The 25826-nt window shown below is 33.2% G+C and overlaps 1 protein-coding gene across 23 annotated transcripts in view, besides 1 other annotated feature; it reads left to right on the top strand.

The window, feature by feature from the left end:
- AHI1 (Abelson helper integration site 1) overlaps window positions 1–25826 on the top strand; it is a 214209-nt gene that overhangs the window by 61525 nt on the left and 126858 nt on the right. For 22 of the 23 annotated variants that reach the window (XR_001743480.3, XR_007059277.1, XR_007059276.1 and 19 more), the window contains 6 exons: window positions 2960–3189; window positions 4902–5008; window positions 6216–6334; window positions 7457–7587; window positions 8909–9049; window positions 24672–24868. Coding sequence is in view for 19 of the 23 variants with exons in the window: in XM_047418943.1 (XP_047274899.1) it covers window positions 2960–3189; window positions 4902–5008; window positions 6216–6334; window positions 7457–7587; window positions 8909–9049; window positions 24672–24868 (925 nt within the window). In the remaining 4 variants the exon portion in view is untranslated. Of the gene's footprint in view, window positions 1–2959; window positions 3190–4901; window positions 5009–6215; window positions 6335–7456; window positions 7588–8908; window positions 9050–24671; window positions 24869–25826 lie in introns of those variants that run through there. The other variant, XR_007059278.1, reaches the window with a different exon arrangement.
- Window positions 10079–10279: a silencer, noted in NCBI's record as "peak6137 fragment used in MPRA reporter construct". NCBI's record gives its function as "represses an SCP1 promoter by STARR-seq MPRAs in K562 erythroleukemia cells {active_cell/tissue: K562}" and the evidence as "EXISTENCE:reporter gene assay evidence [ECO:0000049][PMID:32103011]".

Genomic DNA, 25826 nt, shown 5'->3' with positions numbered 1-25826 from the left:
TTTATCCCCAGGATCCTTTAGCTGATCATCTCCTGGTTTTATATGCTTATCCTAGTTTCTCTTACCTTTCCCAGCTTTGACTCTTGCTGATATGCTAATGACTTCTAGCGCACACCTTTTTTATGAATTTGACTTCCTATTACACGTTTCCATTTGAATGGCCCATTGCCACCTCAAATCCAAAACCAAACTTACCCACCTCCTTAAATTTTGTTTTCCTCTTTTAATTCTCTTACATATATTTTAATGGCATCCTTATCCACCATCTCCCAAGCTGAAAACTCAGAGTGGTGTTCATCTCTTCTTTCTTTCCCATCATTTCTTTCACATCTAACTAGCACTAAAGTCTGCCAATTCTCCCTCCTAAAAGGCTCACAGTTTTGTCACGTCCTCTCTATTGCGTTTGCTTTAATTCAAGCCCTATTACTCTTTGCTTAAATTGTTGCTATTGACCTCAGTGTTCAGTCTCTAAGTCCTCTGTCTCTGCTGTGCTAAAATTATCTTTCCATAACTATCTTTCATAATGCCTTAATTTTTTAAAAGACTTTACCCATTGCCCATTGAAAAATTTTCCAGTTCCTTAGCATGGCCTAACAGGCATGTTCCTCATTGACCCAACATTCTTTTCTCATGCGCTTCCCTTGTACCCTTTGCTTTACCCACGTAATCTTTTGAAACACCCTAGCATCTTATCTTCTTTGGCATCTTCCTGCCCTTTGAAACTTACCTACTTTTCCTATACTTAAATGACCTTCTCCTACCCTTCCTGAATAACTTATTCATTCAACAAAAATTAAGTGCCTTTTGTGAGCTCTCATAGGTTTGTAGTTATTATTTAAAATCCAGCCCAAATTCTATTATTTCTTGAAGCTATCTTGGGTTTCTGCACACAATATGTAGTATATTATGCTAAAGCACACATTTTTTCCTTATTTATCTTTAAAACTGATACTAATTTAGGACTCTTTACATCATTAAAATAGTATTGTGAAAGCATTAACTGAGTGAAAAGAGAAGCATGTGGCTAGCATCAAAATGACAAGGAGAGTTTTGAAAGAGGTAAGGAATACTTGTAATAAAGGAGCTGTTGTCCAAAGAAAGAGAATTAGAATTGCAAATGCTCACAAGTGGCAGAAGTATGAATTTCTGTCCATGTCTTCTCCTTCTTTATTCCTGAGGATCCCTGACACATATTATTGTTAGTGTCTCCTAAGTATTTCCCACTTGATTAGCTTTCTGCCATATGGGTTTATCCTAAATACCCTTCTTTAGTTATCCCTGGAATAATCTGTGTTTTTCTCAAATCAACAACTTCTAATACAGTCAGAGAGGCTTTTCCATATGTAATGGCTCCCACACAGGCCTATATGTGCCCACTATTCCCTTTTCTCAAACATATGGCTTAACTTTATGTTTTTTCTTTCCCAAATCTAGTAATTTTTGTGTGTGTTCATTCAGTCTTTACAAATTTGTATTTCTTTGTTCTCTATGATCTGGTCTGATTTTTTTTCCCCAAACCCATTTATATATTTATTTTAATCTCAGATTCTACCATGGCCTGGGTAACAGAAACCATCATTGATTCCAGTTCAGTTTTTACACAAAAAGCTTTACTTTTATTTTTTTAATATTATGTCTGTTTTAATTATATTGAGCTGTTTTGAAGATGTATTTGCTTCATTTCTGCCTGTTATATAGTATTTTAAATAATGCTACTAAGATTTATTACCAAACAACTGAGTTTTTCATCTATCTTTTTAATATTTTCCCAAAATTAGTGGTTTTTTCTTTTAATAGGCATCATATTTCATATAAATATGCTTATTGAGAATACACTGTGGTAAAAATGCTTGTGCAATTGATTCATTCATGGGCTTTATTTTTACTCGAAAACATGTTCTTTCACTTCCTCTATTATTAGTTTGGATTCTTAGTAATTGAAGATCATATCCTATATTGTAAGCAGCTGCTGAGGAAACTCATAGAATATTTTTCTTGAATAGAAACTGTTTTTTTTTCTCTTATCAGTAATCTTGTAACAGACTCAATTTGCTTTAGTTTTCAAGCAGTAATTAAAAGGATGAATACAAATCCCATATTTAAAATTAATATGTTCTTCTAATTTTGATAATTTAACAAAATATATTTAAAAATCCAATGCTTCACACTTATATAGCACCTGTATATTGGTAGATTTCACCTAGTTTTATACATTGTTAGAAATGCAGAGTATCTAAGAGGTTAACCCTTAAGGGTTTACTCATTTGTCAAGACTGTAGCAGTGATAATAATCTTAATTTTTTTTAGTTAGCCATTATTTAGAGGACAGGATAATGAGTGTTAAACAAAAAGAACGTGCTTAATGTAGGATAGTCTTTTCTATCAAAATGTCATAATTATTTTAATCTTATTTTACTTGAGAATTCAAAATATAATAATTTTAGTATCTCTTAAATCTTTGAGATCTTCATTTTTACTATCTAGGCTTTGAAATTACAAATATAAAAGTTAATAGACTATTCTATTCTCTAAACCCCCATTAATAAACACTTTGTAAAAGTGGTATACACAACCTAAATGGGAAATCATTAAAGTTTCTCCCTATATATTTTTTATGTATATTGTACTAAATGCAATATTTTACCAACTGTTCAATGTGTGTTTAACCAACAGCAAAATAGGTAGGTTTTAAAAAGTTATTAATTTTATAGTATAGATTACAATTAGTGGATATAATATGCTGGATAATAACTATAACAAATAACTTTGTCACATGTGAAAATTCCAGTCATCAAATATGAGATCATCATTATATTTTTCATTGTTTTAAAACTTGGTTTACCATTGGTCGTTGTCACTTGCTTGCTTAAGGTTCATTGGCTGTGTTGGTTCTTAGAAAAACTGTTAAAAGAAACTTCTGCTTTTCAGAAGCAATATGTAACTTCTTATCCTTTTCCAGGATATGGAAAAATGAAATAAACAATACAAATACTTTCAGAGTTTTACCTCATCCTTCTTTTGTTTACACGGCTAAATTCCATCCAGCTGTAAGAGAGCTAGTAGTTACAGGATGCTATGATTCCATGATACGGATATGGAAAGTTGAGATGAGAGAAGATTCTGCCATATTGGTCCGACAGTTTGATGTTCACAAAAGTTTTATCAACTCACTTTGTTTTGATACTGAAGGTATGTCAGAGACTATGAATGAAGACCAGCTATGTGAAGAATTTTTTTTTACCAGAATAATAGTTATTTAGGCTTGAGAGGGTTATGTACTGATGATTGCGCATATTTAGGTTTATGCTTATTTTGCAGGTCATATGATAGATATGACACTAAGGGACTTCTGTTTGTAATTTTTAAGTTTTTAAATTCTTAAACATTTAGATTCAATTAATCTTTGCTATAACAACCAGTCATGTGCCAAATTGCATAAATATATTTCTTTGAACTGGTGATTATCATTCTTACTTTTTCTTCAAGAACCTTAAAATTTGCAAACATATAGAAGGGAAATTTGCAATTATTTAAAGTTTTATCTTGATATAAGAATAATATGGTGGCCGGGCGCGGTGGTTCGTGCCTGTAATCCCAGCACTTTGGGAGGCTGAGGTGGGTTGATCACAAGGTCAGGAGATCAAGACCATCCTGGCTAACACGGTGAAACACCATCTCTACTAAAAATACAAAAAATTAGCCGGGTGTGGTGGCATGCACCTGTAGTCCCAGCTACTTGGGAGGCTGGGACAGGAGAATCGCTTGAACCCTGGAGGTAGAGGTTGCAGTAAGCTGAGATCGCGCCACTGCACTCCAGCCTGGGCGACAGAGTGAGACTCCATCTCAAAAAAAAGAATAATGTAGTATGTTTTAAAGATGTAAAACGTAAATCATTTTATTATCTGAAAGAATGAAGAAATTTATTGTATCTATTAAATAGTCACTTTTTACATAATTTCAGAGACTGGGCATGTAGGCTAGCGCTATAATTAATTGGTATGGGATCCAGATCAAAAGGATAATACTGCTGATTTACTCAGTTCAGCTGTAGGGATGTTAATAAATTTGGAACATATTCAGGAAAGACTCTGAATAGAAAGGTATCTGAAAACTAACTCTGTCATAATAGCAGTAGTTGAGATTATAAAAGAGACATAAAGACTTTCTTCAACTATTTGGCCATACGATATCCAAATGTGCAAAAAAAAAAAAAAAAGGAAATTGGTCCATGTTACTCCAGTGGGTAGAGGTGGGCCAAAGCTGTAGAAGATAGATTTTCTTTGTTCAGAATTAGAAAGAATATTTTAATACAGGAAGCAGTTCACCAGTTGAATAGCTGTTTTATAAAATACTGAATTCACAGTTGCTGAACAGCCATCTGTTAGTGGTGGTGTTTGAGATATTCCTGAGTGGGTATGAAGTTGAACTTAATGGTCTCTGAGGTCTTTCAATTTTAAGATTATTTGACTCCAAAGAATTGATGTTAAACTGGTGCATATTAGAATATAGGTATTTTTCTAGGAATCCAAAACAGATTTATGGGTTAATAAAGATGAGAAATAATGTTACATGTCGGATGGTTCAAATTATTTGGCTTTGGAATATAAGCCATATACACATGTACTGAGAGGCTCATTTCTTTTTATAGTTAAATTCAGGTAAGTGAAAAAGGGAAAGAAGTCATCAAAAATAATTTAAAAGAGTAAAGAATTCATTTAAAGATAATTGGGGTTTGTTTGTGAGTTACATTTTGATTTTTGGCTTTTTTAAACTGAAATACCTTTTAATAGCCCTTCAATTCTTTGACTGTTTTACTGGGGTATAGTTTCCCCCGATTTCCTATTATTTGTTTCTAACTCTGTGTGACATTCATAAGTGAGTGATCTTATTTTTTTAAATAGGTCATCATATGTATTCAGGAGATTGTACAGGGGTGATTGTTGTTTGGAATACCTATGTCAAGATTAATGATTTGGAACATTCAGTGCACCACTGGACTATAAATAAGGTATAAAATCATATTTTATATTTTGGGATTTAATTAAAGAAGTTGGAAAAATCCAATCACATGACTTTAAGATAGGATGTCAGGACATTCTGTTCTCTCATTTCAAAAAATTAACAGTTTTTCTTAGTTATCAATAATTAATTAGCACACCCTCCTGATGGCTGACTGATGATATAACGACTTAGTGAAGATTTAAAATTTTGGCCAGGTGTTAATTTCACTTTTTTATACCCCATTTGCACTGTGGCATTCAGTAATCCATTGGGTGACATTTATGCTAAAATGAGATGTATGTTATATTACCATCGATAAGTAATAATTTATATTTCCTATTATATCCTTTTTCCTTGGTCCAATTATATCTCTAAAAACAGTGTTCTCAGTATTTTATCAACACTGGTGTCTTTCAGAGTTATGCGGTTATTATGAAGATCTGTCATTTAATCACAATAATTGTTTCATTTGAAATTTGCCGAATAGAAACAAATGAATAAGTTCTTTCATTTGGGGGCTGGAGTGTTTTTAAGACAGCTTGTATGTTAAGCAGTTTTGTTAGTGTACATTTTTTACTTTTTATTTAAAAATACAAATGAATCATTAAACTTGAATTTGTTCTATATAAATTGATTCAGTTTCTGCCTAACATATTATACCTTTTTCTTCAATTTTTCATAATATAATTATGATAGTAGTTGAAAAAAGACACCCTAAGTGAAAAATAATTTCCATGAATTTTAGTTAAATCTGTTGAGTCTATCAGATCTGTTGAAAAAGCAGTTCATTCTGTTGTTAGAAATTCTTATCTAAATAAGAATAGAAACTTGAAAATTATTTCTACATGTGGTTTTGAATTTATAAAAATTGGAAGCTTCTTACATGATTTTAAACAAAAAATGTAATGTTACAAGATGTGTTTGTTGGAAGTACTTCTTGTTTGGGACTGACCAAATTTTGGGAAAGTGAACATACTACAAAAACACATACTAATTAAATGTGCATTTGCACATTGCATAACAACACAGAAATACAATTCATCAGCTTTATTTTCAGCCCTAAACTGACGTTACTCAGAATCCTTTTGCTAACAATTTTAAAGCATCCTATACAGTGGAATTGGAAATGATATTTTAAGATTAATTTTGTACCCCCAAAAAAGTTTAACATTAGACAAACTTTTCAGTAGTAGTATTTTTTTTAATCATTTTAGGAAATTAAAGAAACTGAGTTTAAGGGAATTCCAATAAGTTATTTGGAGATTCATCCCAATGGAAAACGTTTGTTAATCCATACCAAAGACAGTACTTTGAGAATTATGGATCTCCGGATGTAAGTATATTTCAGTGTTGACAGGATAAGTACTCACAGAGTAAGTAATGAATTAAATTATATTTATAAAATTCGGTAGTGGTTCTCAACTAAGCAGTGTCCCCACACTCACCAAGGAACATCTGGCAGTATCTGGAGATTTTTTTTTTTTATGTTGCTTCTAGTATCTAATGAGTCGAGATAAAAAATATTGCTAAGCATCCTACAGCCCATAGGACAGTCCCCCTAAAACAATTATCCAGCCCAAAATGTGAGTAGTTCTGAGGCTGAAATGTAGTTAGTTGCTTTTATTTTCACAATTAAAAAAAAGAAACTTCTACCTTCAACAATGATATTGATTGATACTGATATTATCACTATGATACTGTTACAGCATTAGTATAATATGATATAACTACAGGAGAGGGCTTTTGATTTATATGTCCTTGTTTTTTTGTTTATTTCCAAATAATCGCAAATGTAGGGAAATATCCTTCCTGAAAAAGGTGGAAGCAGTGTTCTGGGAAAATCAACATGGACTTCTAGTGCACTTTTGTTTGATGTTAGAGATGATAATAATACTTACCTGGCACAAAGTGTGTGCTGAAATGGTGTTTACTATTTTTTCGTGAGTGAAAAAATATGGAAGGCTATGTACCATATTTAGCAGATGGTTTAATAATATGTTTTATCTAATTTTTTTTCAGAGATCAAATATTCCTTGTATTATTTTAAAAATTCATCAGAAGAATATATGAGTATAAAAATTCTATCCATTAGTTTAGTAACCAGCTCAAATGCTACTTCCATAAAGTAGTCTCTCTTGCTCTATAGCTAGAATTAATTTCTCTTGTCCAAGTTTGAAAAGAACTCTTCTGTTTTTCTTTTGCAGTATGTTCTACATCCACCTTCTATTTTACGTTGACATGTTTCTCCTCTCTTGCTAAATTATAAACTCCCTGGGCTCTTGGGACTAGCTCTCCTTTATTCTGCATCCATTATATTATAGAATGTCTCCCATATGGCAGATTCTCAAAAAATGTTTGTTGAATGGAAATTAAGTATTTAAGAGAAAAGATTTTATACCACCAGTCATTTACATGATTAAGACAGTTACATTTGTAAAATCTTTTTTGCTTGTAGATTAGTAGCAAGGAAGTTTGTAGGAGCAGCAAATTATCGGGAGAAGATTCATAGTACTTTGACTCCATGTGGGACTTTTCTGTTTGCTGGAAGTGAGGATGGTATAGTGTATGTTTGGAACCCAGAAACAGGTGAATGTTTATTGAACTTTAAAAATCATTTGGGGAGGTACAGGGGTTTGAAGAAGTGTGAAAATTCTACCATTTTATGGAATAATTTTCAAGGAAATTCTGATTTTGGGTTTTCAATTATGTTTTTTAAGATTAGAAAGCCTTTAAAGGAACTCAGCTACAGTCTAAACTTGTATTAAATTTTGTTCTCTATTGCTTTAATATCTTTATGGATTTAGAATTTCACATTATAATTCAAGGTTTGTTCTTTCATGGCCTATAATGAGACATTGCTGATCTTAGAAAAGCGTTTAATGGAGGCTAACACAAAGTACAAAATGTTACAAGCTGAATTTGGAATATGATTAGGTAGACAAATTGTTAAACATCTATATTTTCATTAGTAACGGAAACATACCTGTGAAAGTTTTGATGTCTGAAACTTAAATAGCAAGTTGCCTGAAATACTGCAGTTCAGTTTTTTTCCAATAAACAATTACATTGGGAAGCTCACTTGTGCCTCACCTTTGCTTTTCAAAAGAAAAGCTAAAGCTACATGAATGTTTTTAATAAGAAATTGAGAGAGTTTCATAAAACTAACTTTAAAATTTCTTTAATGAACAGTATTTGATTTTTTCCTTGTTTTTTTTTTATTCTTTCTGTTAGGCATTTTGACTAGTCAGGTAACTTAGGTTTTTGTTTGATTGTTTGTTTCCTGTACCGTGTTTTGATGCTTTAGCATCAATTCAGTAGCAACAAGTCTCGCCTTCAATAAATGAATCTAGATTCTTTGCTTTTTGACTCCTGACTGATTTTCCTGGATTCCACAGATCTCTACTTTAGACATCTTTTAGGCCATAGTCATAGGTATCTTTCAAGCAAATGGGTACCTCAAACAGCATCTGGGAAAAAAAAAATGGAAAAGTTAATCCTTCACCAAAGCTCACCCAACTAGAGTTTCTTTAGTTTTAGAGTCCTGTAATTTCTCCTGTAGTTCTACCCAGAGTTCTCTGTCATTTGGAGTTTGCTTAGCTCTGTCCAATCTCCAATCTTAGAGTCATATACCTCTCTACTTCCGTCTGTGCCCTTTGTCTTTATTTTGTGCCTTGAAAACCTCATTGAAGAGGTAGAAAGTAGAAGGAGGAGGGTCAGTGGAATGTAAAATAAAGATAATTTAATACATTGTTACTCAAACATTTTTAAATATTTGAGGTTTTCACATAAATAATGTGAGCATCATTGCTATAAATATTTTCTAATAAATGGCAGAATAATCTTGTGAGAAGATTTATCGATACAGATATGCTCTGATATACATTTTTGAATCTCTCTTTTTATTTAGGAGAACAAGTAGCCATGTATTCTGACTTGCCATTCAAGTCACCCATTCGAGACATTTCTTATCATCCATTTGAAAATATGGTTGCATTCTGTGCATTTGGGCAAAATGAGCCAATTCTTCTGTATATTTACGATTTCCATGGTAAGTCTACCACTTGATAAGTAAAGAATTTTTAGAGTAACCTTTACATTTAGACTAAACCAGGAATCTGTCTGGAATTCAAATGTTGACAAAAGTACACATAATAATTGTGCCCTTATGTTGGAATCACAGAAAGCTAGCCACAAGTTTCTTTGTAAATCAATTTAAGTAAATAGAATTCACCTAAAAATTATTTGGAATATGTTAACTAAATTTAAAAGGTAAATAAAACTTAGGGAATACAGATCTTTGATGTTTTCAGTTGACTGTTGAGTTAATATTTTATCCTGTGTTGTTACTAAAGCACATAGTTTTAATAAATTGTAGTTTTGAGAGTTTCTTAACATAAAAAGTAGGGGGAAAATCACATCAGTGAAAACATCACCTGGAATTAGAAATCTAATGTCTTTCGTGTCCGCAATTACACTATTCTATCATTCTGAGAAATAATAAGGAAATAAAAAGTGTGGATACATTATTTTTCAGGGACAGTATGGTATTCTAAGAATTCTTTGGATATATGCTGGTTTTCATATATTTCTTTAATTTCTATCCTGAAATTAGGATTCCACTCTTCTATATTATACTATTAGTGCTGTCATTCTCAAAATTGCATTTCTATTTTCTTCATATAGTATTGTACAAAAATGAAAAGTCTTTGTTAGTTTCTTTGATTTGCTTATGGAAAGTTAAGTGTATTAAGTTAATATAGATTGAATTGATTAATGGTTGTGATAAATACTAAGTAATTAGGCAATTAAGTTAGAAATCTGAAGTTCTTGATCACAGTGTGGATTATATTATGCCTTCCAGGGTAAATTATGCTAGAAAATAATGTGTAAAGTCAAAATGTAATCTTATTTTAAAGAATTTTATAGAGAAGAAATCATTTCTGCAATGCATACTCAGATTTATAGAACACTGTTAGTAATGGTAGAATTGCCAAGCAACACAGTACCATTTACTATTACAAGCAGACATTAGCAAAGATAAACACTGCCTGATTATAGGAAAAAATAGATGGATTCCTCAAATCATTCAATGTCCAAATCTGGTGTCTAGTTTCACCATGTATCCTGAAACAGTTCTCTCTTTGTACCCACTCTAAATCTTCACATAAATGAAGAGTTATACCAAAGTACTTTATATTTGGAACTGTTATACAGGAAATAGGCAGCACAGTTATTTCCTCAGACTCTTAAGAGGTTTTACAGTAGTCTTCATTCAATTTCTAATTTGCTTTTTATGCCTTTGAAATTTTCACTACACATACACATTAAAGTTGCACTCTATCTTTTCTTAAAGCAATTTATTTTTTGTCACTGACAGGATTTTATCATCAGAGTAGCCCAGGATAGTTAGGTTTGCCAGTTTGGTTTTTAGGCAGTAAGCAAAGAAGTCCATTCTAGAGGCCTAGTAGGAGAAAGAGCTAAGCATTTTAGGAGTCTAAAAAAATGGGGTTTAGGCTCCATTCTGTTACTCTAGTGACCTTGCACAAGCTTCTTGCCTTCCTGAAGCTCCATTTTCTTATCTATGAAAAGGTACTACAGTACTAATACCTGTCCTACCTAAGAGAGGTATTTGTGAAGATACTATGAGACCATGACTGTGAAAGTACTAGGTAAATTGATAAGCACAATATTGAAACAAAAGATAAAATGGGTTGTTATGCCCATCCAACCAATATATGCTTGACTATATGTAAGAATTTCTGTTTTAATATGCTAATAAGCATCTCTATATGGAAAGCAGTTGAAGAGTTTTTTCTCCTCTCTTTTACTCTGTTGGTCAGTCTTTTATTTATTAAAGTATGTTTCTTTCCAGGTCAATTTATTAGAATATAAATGCATAAAATTAAAAACATAATGTTATTTCCACACTATCTTAATGTGCAAGAGGAAGGATTTCCATGAGCATTTTAGAAATCTAAATATTCAAATAGTAGACACATTAAATTTAAATTATTTGTGCAATATATCACAAACACAATTTTTGATATGCAAACACACCTTTACAAACAAATTAAAACTAAAAAATGTTTCAACACATTTTCCCAACTCGTTGCTATTTTTAAAAAGAGGAAGCTTAGGAAGAAGTTAAGTAATCTTAAGCCATCTAAGATTGAGCAGAGTTCTTGTGAATGGTATAGATCCATAAGAAAAGTATAATATTTATTACCAACCTATTAGAGTTTTGTCTTATGTTTTATTTTTTAATACAGGAATATTTTGCTCATAATTTTTTGGTTGAAAATAAAGTTTACATATGGCTTTACATAAATATTTTAATAGTATAAAATTCAAAAAACACAAAAGACTTAAGGGATTTTTAAGTGGTGTTTAAAAAAAATTATCAGATAATTTTCCAGGAAAATGGAGCAAGCTTATTTTTTTTTATAAGCTAAACAAGTTGTGAATGAGACCACAGTGGTAACTAAATGTATCATCCATCTTTCAGTTCTAGCAAAATCTGTGAAGAGTTAGCAAGCATCTTTCCCTGGTAAACATATGTTCAGGTTGTGGTCTTTTGGGTCTTTCATTCTACTGACTTTTTGCTTTTTTTGGTAAGAAATATGATTTTTACTTTCAGAAGGCAGTTTTATTTGCCTGATGTTGAAAGGGTTAATCATCCAGTAATACAAAATTTAGTCACAGAGTACCACAAATAATGTACTTTTAGGATTCCCATAATAACAGAGTACTAGTCAGAGAAACGGCTTCTACTGAATTAAATTTATGAAGCTAGACTTCAGTTAATGTGTTGTTATTAATCAATATTCACCTCAGTCTCTAGGATATTGTTCTAGATTTAATAATAATTTTAGTAAATACTTACATAGCATTTTGTTTGTTCCTGGTTCTGTTTTAAGCATTTTACCTTACATATATTTAAGTTTCTGCAATAATCTTATGACATAGGGGCTGTTATCCTCGCTTTACAGGAGCCATGGCTTTAAATCAATGCAGTTTGCTCCTGGAGTCCATGCTCTTATTTGCTACACTAAATTTCCTTTTCAGCAAATTTCTTGAAATACTAGTTTCTAAATGTCTAATAATCAAACCTTGTTTTTTCTACAGTACAGTTTTTTCTATGTTTCTCTGTGGAGTATGTGGTTTCCTTGTATTTTCTATACGTTGTAAGAAGCAAAGATGGAAGCTTGTTCATCTTTTTCCTACTAGTACCTACCCTGAATACTGACACATAATAAATATGCATGTAGTGTTTTCAGTGGAGTCAAGTCAGTGGAGTCAAGTCTAATTTGAGAAGTTCTCAGCATTGTCTGATAATTCTAGGTAATGAGGCTGATTTTTCGCTAGGTGGCAATGTCTCCTCTGAACCAGAGTTAATACTGAGTTTATTAACCAGAGTATATTAACCAGAGTTAATAACAGAGTATCAACTCTGGTTCAGAGGACACATAGTCATAGTATCTTAGACAAGACAAATCTTTATTAAGCACCTATTGTGTGTCAAGTTGAGCTGTGTTATGAAACACAGGAATCAGACTCAGATTACCATTCTTTTTTCTAGTCCTTTGTACTTCCTAAGTAGTTGATTACATTTCTAAAAGAAATTTAAACCAAAAAGCAGTTTCTACTACTGACATGATTTTATTAACACAATTCATATTAATTAATGATAGCCTACGTTGTCATTGTTGACAAACTTATTTTTTATATTGTGGCACACTTTACCAGAGTTCAGGGCAACATGTACCTTTAGTTTCCTATAAAATTTGTTATTTAAGTTGCTCACTGCCTAGAAGCGTGTGATATTTAGAATGCCATATGTCTAACATAGTACCTGGCATGTTACTAATATGCAATAAATGAATAAATGTTGGCATTAACAATTACAAATCCTATAGAATAGCATTTTTTCCTTAAATTTTATAAAAATATATGCTGAGAGGCATCATCAGTAAATTTGGGGCTAATAACAGTGGTAGTAGTAGCTAACATTTATCAAGCATTTACTGTGTCTACCAATCTTATGAGCATTTTACATATATTATCTCATACCATCCTTCTAAAACTCTTCATTGTAGGTCCCATTATTATCCTCATTTTGCAGATGATGAAACGGAGGCACAGAGAAAACAATAATTTTCCTAAAGTAACACAGTTGGTGTAAAGCCACCATTTTGTCTAAGCTGACTCCAGAGTCCATGTTCTCAGTGCATTAAGCTATCTGTCTTAGGCACTTATTTAGTCTTTGCATTTCCTGATCATGAAGTAAATTTAAAAAGTAGCTAAATATTCCTATGGTAAAATGTGTTGTTGGTTTTCAATTTCAACATTTAGGAGAACCCCTTAAGAAAGGAAGTTTGCTTATCTAGTATTATTAATAGTTCACTCCCTTAAAAATGTGGGGGGTGGCTGGGTGTGGTGGCTCACACTTGTAATCTCAACACTTTGGGAGGCTGAGGCAGGAGGATCGCTTGAGGCCAGGAGTTTGAGACCAGCCTGAGCAACATAGTGAGACCTCATCTCTACATACATACATGTATACATACATACATACATACATACATACATACATACATAAAAATAAAACTTTGAGGAGTAACATAATTATGATGTAATAAGCCATTATGTTCTCAATATAGTTTAAAATACAAATATTCTTTAGTATATAGCACTAATTTTTTTTTTTTCTTGAGACACAGTCTCTGCTCTGTCACCCAAGCTGGAGTGCAGTAGCACAATCACAGCTCACTGCGGCCTCAACCTCCTGGGTTCAAGCAGTCCTCCCACCTCAGCCTCCCGAGTAGCTGGGACCACAGGATACTCGACTAATTTCGTGTGTGTATTTTTTGTAGAAACAGGGTTTTGCCATGTTTGAGACAATCCTAGGCCTGGTCTCAAGTGATCTGCCCACCTTGGCCTCCCAAAGTGCTGGGATTACAGGCGTGAGCCACCATGCCTGGCCTCATTAAATTTTAATATAACTCCTTTTACAATATTTTTGAAATCAGATAATGTCTAGTAGAAATAAATTTAATATCCACAGTTTTCTGTACAATATAGATACGATGTAGTGGTTTTCTATATTGGAGATAGCTATTTGTATGTATTCATTTGCAATACGATGTACATACGATACATCTACAAATGTAGAAATACATTTGTTTTCTACGTTCTATATGGCATTCATTTGTAATACTTATGAATAGTTCAAAAGCACATTCAGATAACATAATTCTCATACTTATACAAGATTATGTCATTAAAATATACCTAATAGTAGGGCAGAATTTTAAATATTTATTTTTAGCCTGGTAGGAGAAATTAAAAGATAGAAATGCCACATTTTAAGACATGCCAAAACTACCTGTTTCTTGGTTATATGCTGAAGTACCTATTTTAATATTATTCACATAATAGGTACTTTGATATGAAAGTTTATATCATTCAAGAACTCAAGACATATGGAAAACTTAACTTGATAGTTTTGAGCATAAACCAGAGCCCTGACTTCCTCTTTAAGACATTTTTTTTAATGTTTACAGTGGTGTTTTTAATTGCACTAATGCATGAATGATATGATGTAAAATAGACAACAACAAAGACTGGAGTAAGAGAGCGCTGGCATTCTAGACAAAATACTACCACTCTGTATTTGACCCTGATCAAATAATTTACCTTTCTGCACTTGTTTTGTTCTGCTTGTAAAATTAGAATAGCATATATTCTATTTTATATCAATATTTTTATCAAAGGATAAAATGAAACTATAAAATGAGGCATGAAGCATAAATACAGGCATACCTCGTTTTACTGGTGTTTGCTTTATTGTGCTTCATAGATATTGCGTTTTCTACAAATTGAAGGTTTGTGGCAATTCTATGTTAAGCCAGTCTGTGGGCGCCATTTTTCCAACATTGTGTGCTCACTTGGTGTCTCTCTGTCACATTTTCGTAGCTCTCAAAATATTTCAAACCTTTTCATTATTATGTCTGTTATGGTGATCTGCGGTGAGTGCTTTTTGATGTTACATTGTAATTGCTTTGGGGCACCACAAACTGTACCCATATAAGATGGCGAACTTAATTGATAAATGTTTTCAGTGTTCTGACTGCCCCACCCACCAGCCGTTCTCCCATTTCTCTCCCTCTCTTCAGGCCTCCCTATTCTCTGAGACACAGTATTGAAATTAAGCCAGTTAATAACCCTGCAGTGGCCTTTTAAGTATTCAAGTGAAAGGAAGAATTGTACATTTCTCATTATAAATAAAAAGGTAGAAGTGATTGAGGTCAGTGAGGAAGGCATGGGGAAAGCTGAGATAGGGCAAAGGCTAAGACTTTTGTGCCGTATAGTTAGCCAAGTTGTGAATGCGAAGTAAAAGTTCTTCATCAGTGAACACACAAATGACAGGAAAGTAAAACAGCCTTATTGCTGATATGGACAAAGTTTTAGTGATCTGGATAAAAGATGAAACCAGCCACAGTACCCCCTTATGCCAGAGCCTAATCTAGAGCAAGGCCTCTAACTCTCTTAAAGTCTGTGAAGGCTGTGAGAGGTGAGGTAGCTGCAAGAGAAAAGTTTGAAACTAGCAGCGGCTCATTCATGAGGTTTAAGGAAGGTAACCGTCTCCATAACATTAAAGTGCAAGGTGAAGCAACAAGTGATGATCTAGAAGCTGTAGCAAGTTATCCAGAAGATCTAGCTGAGATCATTGATGAAGGTGGCTACAGTAAACCACAGATTTTCAATGGAGATGAAGCAGCTTTCTAATGGAGGAAGATGCCCTCCAGTAGTTTCATAGCTAAAGAGGAGAAGACATGGATCAAGGAGTAATTTTGACTTTCACGTCTTAGTATTTAAGAAATACATTTCGTAAGTCCATAGCTGACATAGATAGTGATTCCTCTGATGAAGCTGGGCAAAGTACCTTGAAAACCTGGAAAGGATTCACCTTTCTAAATGCCAGTAAGAACATTCATGATTCATAAGAGGAAGTCAAAATATGGACACTAACAGAAGTTTGGAAGAAGTGTATTCCAACCCCCATGGATGACTCTGAGGGCTTCAAGACTTCAATGAAGGAAGTGACTGCAGATTTGGTGAAAATAGCAAGAGAACTAGAATTAGAAGTAGAGCCTGAAGATATGAATGAATTACTGCAATCTCATGATTAAACTAGAATGGATGAGTTGTTTTTTATGGATGAGCAAAGAAAGTAGATTCTTGAGAGAATCTACTCCTGGTGAAGACGCTGTGAACATTGTTGAGATGACAACAAAGATTTAGGAAATTCCATATATTTAGTTGGTAGAGCAATGGCAAGGTTTGAGAGGACACAATTTCTGTGGGTAAAATGCTATCAAATAGCATCACATGCTACAGAGAAATCTTTTGTGAAAGTAAGAGCCAATCAGTGCAGCAAATTTCATTGTTGTGTAAATTGCCACAGCCACCCCAGCCTTCAGCAACCACCCCATTTATCAGTCAGCAGACCCTTTATTAACATTAAAGCAAGACCTTCCATCAGCAAAAAGATTATGATTAACTGAAGACATAGATGATTGTTAGCATTTTTTAGCAATAAAATAGTTTTTAAGGTAAATGCATTGATTTTTTAGACATAATGCTACACTTAATAGACTACAATATAGTGTAAACATAACTTTTATAAGCACTAGAAAATTAAAAACATATGACTTTCTTTATTGAGATATATGCTTTATTGCAGTAGTCTGAAACCAAACCCGCCATATCTCTGAGTAATGCCTGTGTTATTAGAGTTCATGAACTAGGCTGCAGTCGGGAAATTGTAGCTATTCTCTGTAGCAGGGTATGTATGACACATTTTCAGTTGGATAACATTCTGTGTGATGATTGATAATGGAATAGGAACCAACAAGAGCAGAATAGCATGTACTGCAGGGAATTTGCAGATAGTTGATTCAATTTTTATATCCAGCTAATGAATTTGCCAGATGCTGGTAGATGCTGTCTCATTTGGTTGACTGTGAGACTTGAATCTGCTACACATCACTCTATAGATTTTGAACAGTTTTATTAGTAATACTTCAAAGTTCTAATTGACTTACAAGGTGTGTCAAGGAAATACAAAATTGCTAACAGGCCCTGAAACACAGGCTACCAGAATTGAAGTGTTAAGTCTATAGAACTTCTTGGATCCATCACCTCAGTATCTCAAGATTAGCTGAAGGAGGAACAAGTCAGGCCAGATAAAATACAAAAAAAAAAAAAAAATTATAAGTACTGAACATTTACTGCAGATGTTAGAGAAGGAGAATGCTATATAACTGCTAAATGCTGGGAAACTAAGTAGAACTACCAACTTATAGGGATGATATTATAACTGGAAATATAATAGTTTATAGCTAAAGAAATTAGGTATCCAGTAAGATGACCATATAAAGTAACAGGGCTATATATAATGAAATGTCTTGAACAAAGGAATTAAACGGTGAACCAAAGGGGAACCTTATTGTTAATATAATGTAAGAGAAAGAATATGTTGTGATTCCAGGTTCACTTCATTATAAAGTCAATAATGTAAGTACATAGATTGTAATAATAGCAAAGTTTGCATTTGCTTCAAATGCAAAGGGCAGTGGATTAAAATATCTTATTTCCTCCGTCCTTCCTCCTGTAAAGATAAAAATCTCTTGAGAAAACCACATTATTTTTTCATAATTGTTTAACTCAAGAACATACACAAAAGCACCAAGCTTATTATATAAATCAAAGGATTTTCCATCATAAAAACATTTTAAGAATTTTTTAATTTTGTAAAATTTTGAATCCCAAATGATAGCCTATTAGAAGTAAATTTAGAAGGATTTTGATGGATATAACATTTCTTTAAGCAAATGTAGTTGCCATCTCTGTGCTCTCATCATCTGTGCATTCCTCTGCTATACCACTTAGCACCTTGCAGTAATTTATTCTCCTTCAGAAGGTCGAAACCTCAAGTGGGGCCAGTGTCTGTATTCCCAGAATCTGCTTAGTGCATGGTACATGACAGCTCTTCAAAAAGTGAGGAAAAGATGGGAGTGAGACTGTTAAAATTATGAGTTTTAAACATACCAGGTTAGAGTAGAGCTAAATTTTAAATATGCAAAGTTAAATTAACACAAAAAGTAATGACAAAATGAAGAAAGAGTTATTTAATTGCAAAATTATACTCCAACTGTGGCCTATGTCAAAGTGTTTTAGAAACCCCTGAAATGTTAAAAGCATAGAGCTTGAAGGAATATCAGAAGTCATGTATTAAATCCTATTAATATTTTACAATGAAATCTATATAGTCTGATACAAGTTGATGTATGTATTTGTGGAGGCTGGAGGAGGGGGAAGAGCAGAAGAACTTCTGAACGGCTTCTGTTTCTAGTATCTGAGAAACTAAGTCTTTATGAATATTTCTGCAGATTTTTTTGTGGCTGCCTTCACAGAACTAAAGGTGTTAAAGATAAAATAGGGTGTTTAATTTGACCCCTTGAATACCAATCAGTTGGCTTCTGTATAGAAAATTTCCTTTAGATGAAAAAAACAAGTGTTCATAATTGTTTGTATTTATTTGTGTTATCCGCTTCCATTTGGGCCATTTTAATCCTTCCGAAAGGCATATTAATACCTGGAAAAATAAAGAGATAAATAATTAGGCTCTGCTTTTTGTTACTTTTTTTTCCAGTTAAAAATGTCATTTTTAAGAAAGAAAAATAATACATGTTTAGCATATTATAATACTTAGAAAATAGTTTGACAAAAAGAGTAAAATGAAAAATACTGAAATCTTACTAACCTATGTAACTGTTACTTACGTAGGTGTATGTGCTTCTGGGCCATTTCTATGCATGTTCGCTCACTCATATTAAAATGAAATCATGGTTGGTAGGTACACAATCTCAGAGAAAATATAGGGAGTTAAAAAATGTCATTAAATAATTAACCCAGTTTTATTTTCCATTCATAGCAGCAAAACACAATTAAATGTTGAAGGGACAATTTTAAAAAGCAAATAAGACAAAGATCATGAAACATGATATGCATTTGTTTATTTATTTATTCCTGAAACCCACCTACTAATGTTAAACATTCCAAATTCCAGTTCATGGAGCACTTATTTTCTTTTACAGCTTTAAAGTTTCTCTTGTTCTGTAAGCAGTCTTTGAATAGTTGAGGGTAATAAGTGTTCTGATTGTTTTGGAGAAAAGTTCAAAATGTGTAATGAAAAATAATAGTCAAATCCACAACAATCTACAGAGAAATGGCTACACTTCTGTTTAAAAACAGTAATTAGTATTGAGGAATGCACATCACTAAAAGGGTGGAGTGTAAGCAGGTCCTCTCCCTTGATAATATCCTTTGGTACTCACTAGCAGGGAGAGAACACCAATTATTATTGAGCTGGTCTTCATTTAGAGTGCCTGAATGAAATAGTACATGAATATAAAGATCAAATACCTAATATTGTTTATATGCATCATCTCAGACTCATAGTTCATGAAACCAAGGCCTATAACTTGAAAAAGTGGTCGTCCTTTTGTATATACTGTCTATATTGTTTTATAAATTATTTTTTCCAATGAATAATATGAGCAATTTTCCATTGTGATAATTACATTTCTATACATAATTTTAGTGGCTAAATTCCCTTTCATTAAATGAATACACCGTAGTTTAAACAACTGTTGTTGCACAATTATACTGTTATATCTTTTTCAACATTTAGATAGTGCTTCAGTACACACTAACTACCCTTACATTCCTCAGGAAATAATGTCTTGAGGTACAATGGGTCAGTTAAACAGGCAAAAAAAAAAGGCACTTTCTAATTTGCATTTTTATTACTAATTAATTTTTAGTGAAGTTAAATATATTTTTATTGGACACAGTTCTTTTGTGAATTTTCTTTAATGGTTCTTTGCCCATTTTTCTGTTCGATTATTAATTTTTAATGGATTTCATGGGAACTCTGCATAGTAAGATTAATTACCCCTTTCATTACAATTTTGTCATTTGCTTTTTTTGGTGAATGGCTTTATTGAGGTATAATTGACATATTATAAACTGAACTATTTAAATGTACTATCTGATAAGTTTGGGCATTTATAAACCTGGGAGACTATTGCCTCAATCAAGATAATGAACATATTTCATCCCCAAAAGTTACTTTGTGCCCTTTTGTGTTCTGTTCCTTCCTCACCCTTATCCCAGGCAACCACTATAAATTAGTTTGCATTTTCCAGAATTGTATATAAGTGAAACTGTATATACCATGTACTCTTTTTTTATCTGGCTCCTTTCACTTATAATTACTTTGATAAATCTGTGTTTTAGCATTTATCAGTAGTTTATTCTTTATATTGTTGGGTGTTGTTTAATTGTATGGCTATGCCACAGTTTGTTTATCCATTCACCTGTCAATGGACATTGGGGTTGTAACCAGGTTTTAGCTATTACAAATAAAGCTGCTCCAAATATTCACATACAAGTCTTTGTATGGACATATGCTTCATTTCTCTTTGACAAATTTCTAGGAGCAGAAGGGCTGGATCATATTGCAGATGTATGTTTGACTTCTTAAGAAGCTGCCAGACTATTTTTTAAAGTGATTGTGCCGTTTAACATTTAACATTCCCACCATTAGTATATCAGTGTACTTGCCAACTTTGAAATGGCCAATCTTGGCAATCATTAAAAAGTCAGGAAACAACAGGTGCTGGAGAGGATGTGGAGAAATAGGAACACTTTTACACTGTTGGTGGGACTGTAAACTAGTTCAACCATTGTGGAAGTCAGTGTGGCAATTCCTCAGGGATCTAGAACTAGAAATACCATTTGACACAGCCATCCCATTACTGGGTATATACCCAAAGGACTATAAATCATGCTGCTATAAAGACACATGCACACATATGTTTATTGCGGCACTATTCACAATAGGAAAGACTTGGAACCAACCCAAATGTCCAACAATGATAGACTGGATTAAGAAAATGTGGCACATATACACCATGGAATACTATGAAGCCATAAAAAATGATGAGTTCATGTTCTTTGTAGGGACATGGATGAGATTGGAAATCATTATTCTCAGCAAACTATCGCAAGGACAAAAAACCAAACACCACATGTTCTCACTCATAGATGGGAATTGAACAGTGAGAACACATGGACACAGGAAGGGGAACATCACACTCTGGGGCCTGTTGTGGGGTGGGGGGAGGGGGGAGGGATAGCATTAGGGATATACCTAATGCTAAATGACGAGTTAATGGGTGCAGCACACCAGCCTGGCACATGTATACATATGTAACTAACCTGTACATTGTGCACATGTACCCTAAAACTTAAAGTATAATAATAATAAAATAAAAATAAATAAAAAAATTTAAAAAAAGAAATGGCCAATCTTTTGAATATTAGCCATTCTAATATACATGCAGTGCTATTTTATTGTGGTTTTAATTTGCTTTTCCCTAATGACTAATGATACTGAGCACCTTTTTTTGCATGCTTATTTGTCATCCATATAGCTTCTTCAGTAAATTGTCTTTTCAAATCTTTTCTCCATTTTTTAAATTGTCCTATTTGTTTTCTGATTATTGAGTTTTGAGATTTCTTTGTGTTTTGTGTATACAAGTATTTTATCAGGCATATGATTTGCAGGTATTTCCCCCCAGTCTGGTTTGTTTTCTAATTGTCTTAACAGTTTAAAGAACAGAAGTTTGAGATTTTGATGAAGTTCAAATTATCAGCTTGTTCTTTTATGCATTTTAGTGTTGTGTCTAAGAAATCTTTGCCTAACCCAAGCTCACAAAGGTGTTCTCTGTTTTTTTCTAGAAGTCTTACAGCTTTGGGTTTTACATTTAGATCTGTGGTTCATTTTGAGTTACTTTTGTACATGTTGTAAAGTATGGATCAAAGTTCATTTTTTTCACATATGAATATCCAACTATTCTAACACCATTTGTTGGAAAAAACTGTCTTTTCTCCACTGAATGGCCTTTATACTTTGTCTATACACCCTGGGCACTCTATACTATTCTGTTGATCTGTTTATTTATCTTTATGCCAGTAGCAAACTGTGTGGATTACTGTAGCTTTATAGGATTTGAAGTCAGGTATTCTTTTCTTTTTCAAAGTTGTTTTGGCTGTTCTAGGTAATATTCATTTCCATGTCGATTTTAGAATTTATTTTACAATTTCTCCAAAAATAACCTGCTGGAATTTTGAGTGGGACTGCATTGAATCTACAGATCATTTGGGGAGAATTTACATCTTACCAATATTGAGTATGCCACCCCATGAACACAATGACAAATTGCTTTGTCAGTTTCTCTCAGCAGTATTTTTAGTTTTCAGTATACAGGTCTTTCACATCTTTCTCCTTTTTTTCCCCAAAGTATGTCACTTTTTTTATGCCATAGTAAATGGCATTTTTTTTTTTAATTTCAATTTTTGGTTCTTAATTGCTTGTATATAGACATATAGATGATTTTTGTGTTTTGATCTCAATCCTACAACATTGCTAAAGTCAATTCTAGTGCCTTATTTTTTTAGATTCCATTTAGAATTTTTACACAGATATGGAGCCAGGACCTCAGAGTGAGAACCTCCTTAAATTTTGCTGCCTGTGTGCCTCACTTGCCTTACTCCACTTTAGCTCTACCTAGACAATCATGTCTGCAAAGACAGTTTTTTTTTTTTCTTTTATACAGTTTGTCCATTTTTTGGTAGTTTCAAGCAGCAGAGTAAATCTAGTCCCTACTCCATTTTGGTCAGAAATGGAAGAACCCTATTACATCATTTCCTTTTTAATTTTTGTTGTGGTAGTTTATTTATATATTTAAGTCTTAAATATGATTTAAAAATCACATTAGCTCTGTCATCCAGTCTTCACTGGAATGCAGTGGCAGCCTCGACCTCCAGTCTCAAGCAATCCTCCCACCCACCTCAGCCTCCTCAGTAGCTGGAAACTACAGGCACATGGTACCCTGCCCGGTTAATTTTTCAATTTTTTATAGAGACAGGGTCTCATTATCTTGCCAGGGCTGGTCTCAAACTCCTAGGCTCAAGTGATCCTCCCACCTCAGCCTCCCAGAGTGCCAGGATTAAGGCATGAGACACTGTGCCTGGCAAGTTTTTTTATTTTAATGAAGACTCTTTAAATGTTCATGTTACAAAATCTGTTCATTGGTCCATAAGAATGTTGACAATTATTAACCTTTTCTGACTCATGTAATCCTTCGATGGATAACCTGATAAAAATTATGAATCTGCTTTCCAGAAATGCTTATATAAACACACTCACATTTCCATAGTAATTTCAGTAGTCCATAGACTCCCTGAAGGTTTATCCATTGATTCCATATTATGAATCCCTGTTTTGAGATTTATTTCTTTCATGTCATGTTTAGGAAGGCTTTCCATTTCAAGATTATGTAACTAAGGAAATACTTTTTTAAATGATGAGTTTATATATTTTTTCTCCTTTGTATATATAGACAGACATTTAATATTTTTCAAGTTCATGTGTTTTAAATGATCAAATGAGGTAATGTATGTGATAGCACCCCAAAAAATACAAAGTGCAGCACAGATGCTACCATGCTCATTATCATCATCATCATGATCAGTCATCATCAGAACATTCACCCTTTGAGCCATCTTCGTCACTCTAGAGAATTAAATCCAAAATAAGAATGATGTTAAGAAACAAAGTTAGCTATGAAAGTAATTATTCTTGCATGATCTATAAGGGAGAACAGAGAACACTATAAATAGAGTTATCTCTTGTTATCTATAGAGGACTGGTTCCAGAACCCCTGGGGATACCAAAAATCTATGGATGCTAAAGTCACTTACATAAAATGTCATAGTTTTTGCATATAATCTGTGGACATCTTCTCTCATACTTGGAATCATCTGTAGATTACTTACAATACCTAATATAGTATAAATGCTATGTAAATAGTTATCATACTGTATTTTTTATAGTATTGTTATTTTTTTCTGAATATTTTTTATCCATAGTTGGTTGAATTCATGGATAGGGAAGCCACAGATACAGTGGACCAACTGTATTCAGTATAAGAGAATGTGTAAAAAAAAAATTACGGTGCTTCATTAAATGAGATACTGTAAAACATTTAATAATTATAATTACGTCATTGTAGAAATGTAAGAAATACTTGCATTTAAATTGAGAAATGTTAAATTGTATTTACATTATGATATATAGAATGTGTGTGTAAAAATTAAGAAGGGTACAGAAATATGAAAATAGTTGTTTTAGAGAGGCTTGTGAATAAATATTATTTTAGCATTTCCCTTAATTCTGTTATGCCTTTGATTTTTTAGTATTATTTTTCTATATACATATATTTAAAGTTAGTCTCCCATCCCAGTTTACATGGCCTTCACAGCTCAATTATAATGCTGCCTGACATGAAATTCTATTTGCTTCCTTATGATTTTATAGCATTGAATAATTTCAAATTTTGCTAGTTATGGTGTCTTATTATTACCCAGTTTTTAAGATGTGTTATGCAGTTTCTGATTATTTGTTGAATGCTACAGTTTTAGGGCTTGATTATGCTTTTGCTATGATGATTTAACTAATTATGGATTCATTTCTTCAGTTGCCCAGCAGGAGGCTGAAATGTTCAAACGCTACAATGGAACATTTCCATTACCTGGAATACACCAAAGTCAAGATGCCCTATGTACCTGTCCAAAACTACCCCATCAAGGCTCTTTTCAGATTGATGAATTTGTCCACACTGAAAGTTCTTCAACGAAGATGCAGCTAGTAAAACAGAGGCTTGAAACTGTCACAGTAAGTTTATTTTATGCAGTTGAAACTTTAAAACTATTTCTATCCTGTTTTACATTGCCATGCCAATAAATATTCATTTAATGAAGTAAGTTAATTACTTAAAATTAGACCTTCCTATACTTTTATGGTTCCTTTCAGGTACTTATTCCTAAAACCTTAATTGCAACAGACAACCTGAATTTAGGATAATCTATCATGCTGTTCTGACTTGATATCTCTGTAAAGGCTAGCCCAGCACCTAGTGATAAGGGAGGGCTCTGAACCAGATGACCACACCTAGGACTTAGCATACAGGTATGACTCCATCTCCTAGGAAAGAAAGAGAAGCTGTGACTTTATCAGCCCAGCATGGTGGCGTACACCTGTAATCTCAGCCACTCAGGTGGCTGAGGCACAAGAATCACTTGAACCAGACAGGCAGAGGTTTCAGTGAGGCGAGATCCTGCCACTGCACTCCAGCCTGGGTGACAAAATGAGACTGTGTCCCTGCTTCCCCAAAAAAGGAAAATAAGTAAAGGCAAAGCGTATCTTAAAATGCTTTGCTATAAGAAACAGAATATTTAGAGTGTGTTCTCAGTAAAATAGAAGAAAACAGAATTTCTATTAATGAAGAGATGAGAGTCCCAAGATTTTGATTTTAGAAAGACATCTAAGATAAAATGAATTTAAAGAAAATCAAAAGGTAAGCTTCAATTAATTCCACATTGCAAATGGTAAAAGAGAAAGTTGACACTTTAAAATACCAGATCAATAGTGTAGCGTAGAGAACTAATTTCAGAAGCACGCAAGAATACAGAAAAAAAGAGATAGGTGAAAACTATGGTTTAGAGTGTAGCTCTGGGGTCCAGCTGCTTAGGCATAGGAATGGCATAGGCTCCAACCTGTGCCAGCTTTTTGACTGGAGAAGTTTAAGTAAACCTAGTTTTCCTCATCTATAAAATGAGGTGGTTTTTGGTTG

Source organism: Homo sapiens, chromosome 6, assembly GCF_000001405.40.
Source record: "Homo sapiens chromosome 6, GRCh38.p14 Primary Assembly".
Lineage (NCBI taxonomy): Eukaryota > Metazoa > Chordata > Mammalia > Primates > Hominidae > Homo > Homo sapiens.
This window is presented reverse-complemented; position numbering and strand designations above follow the sequence as displayed.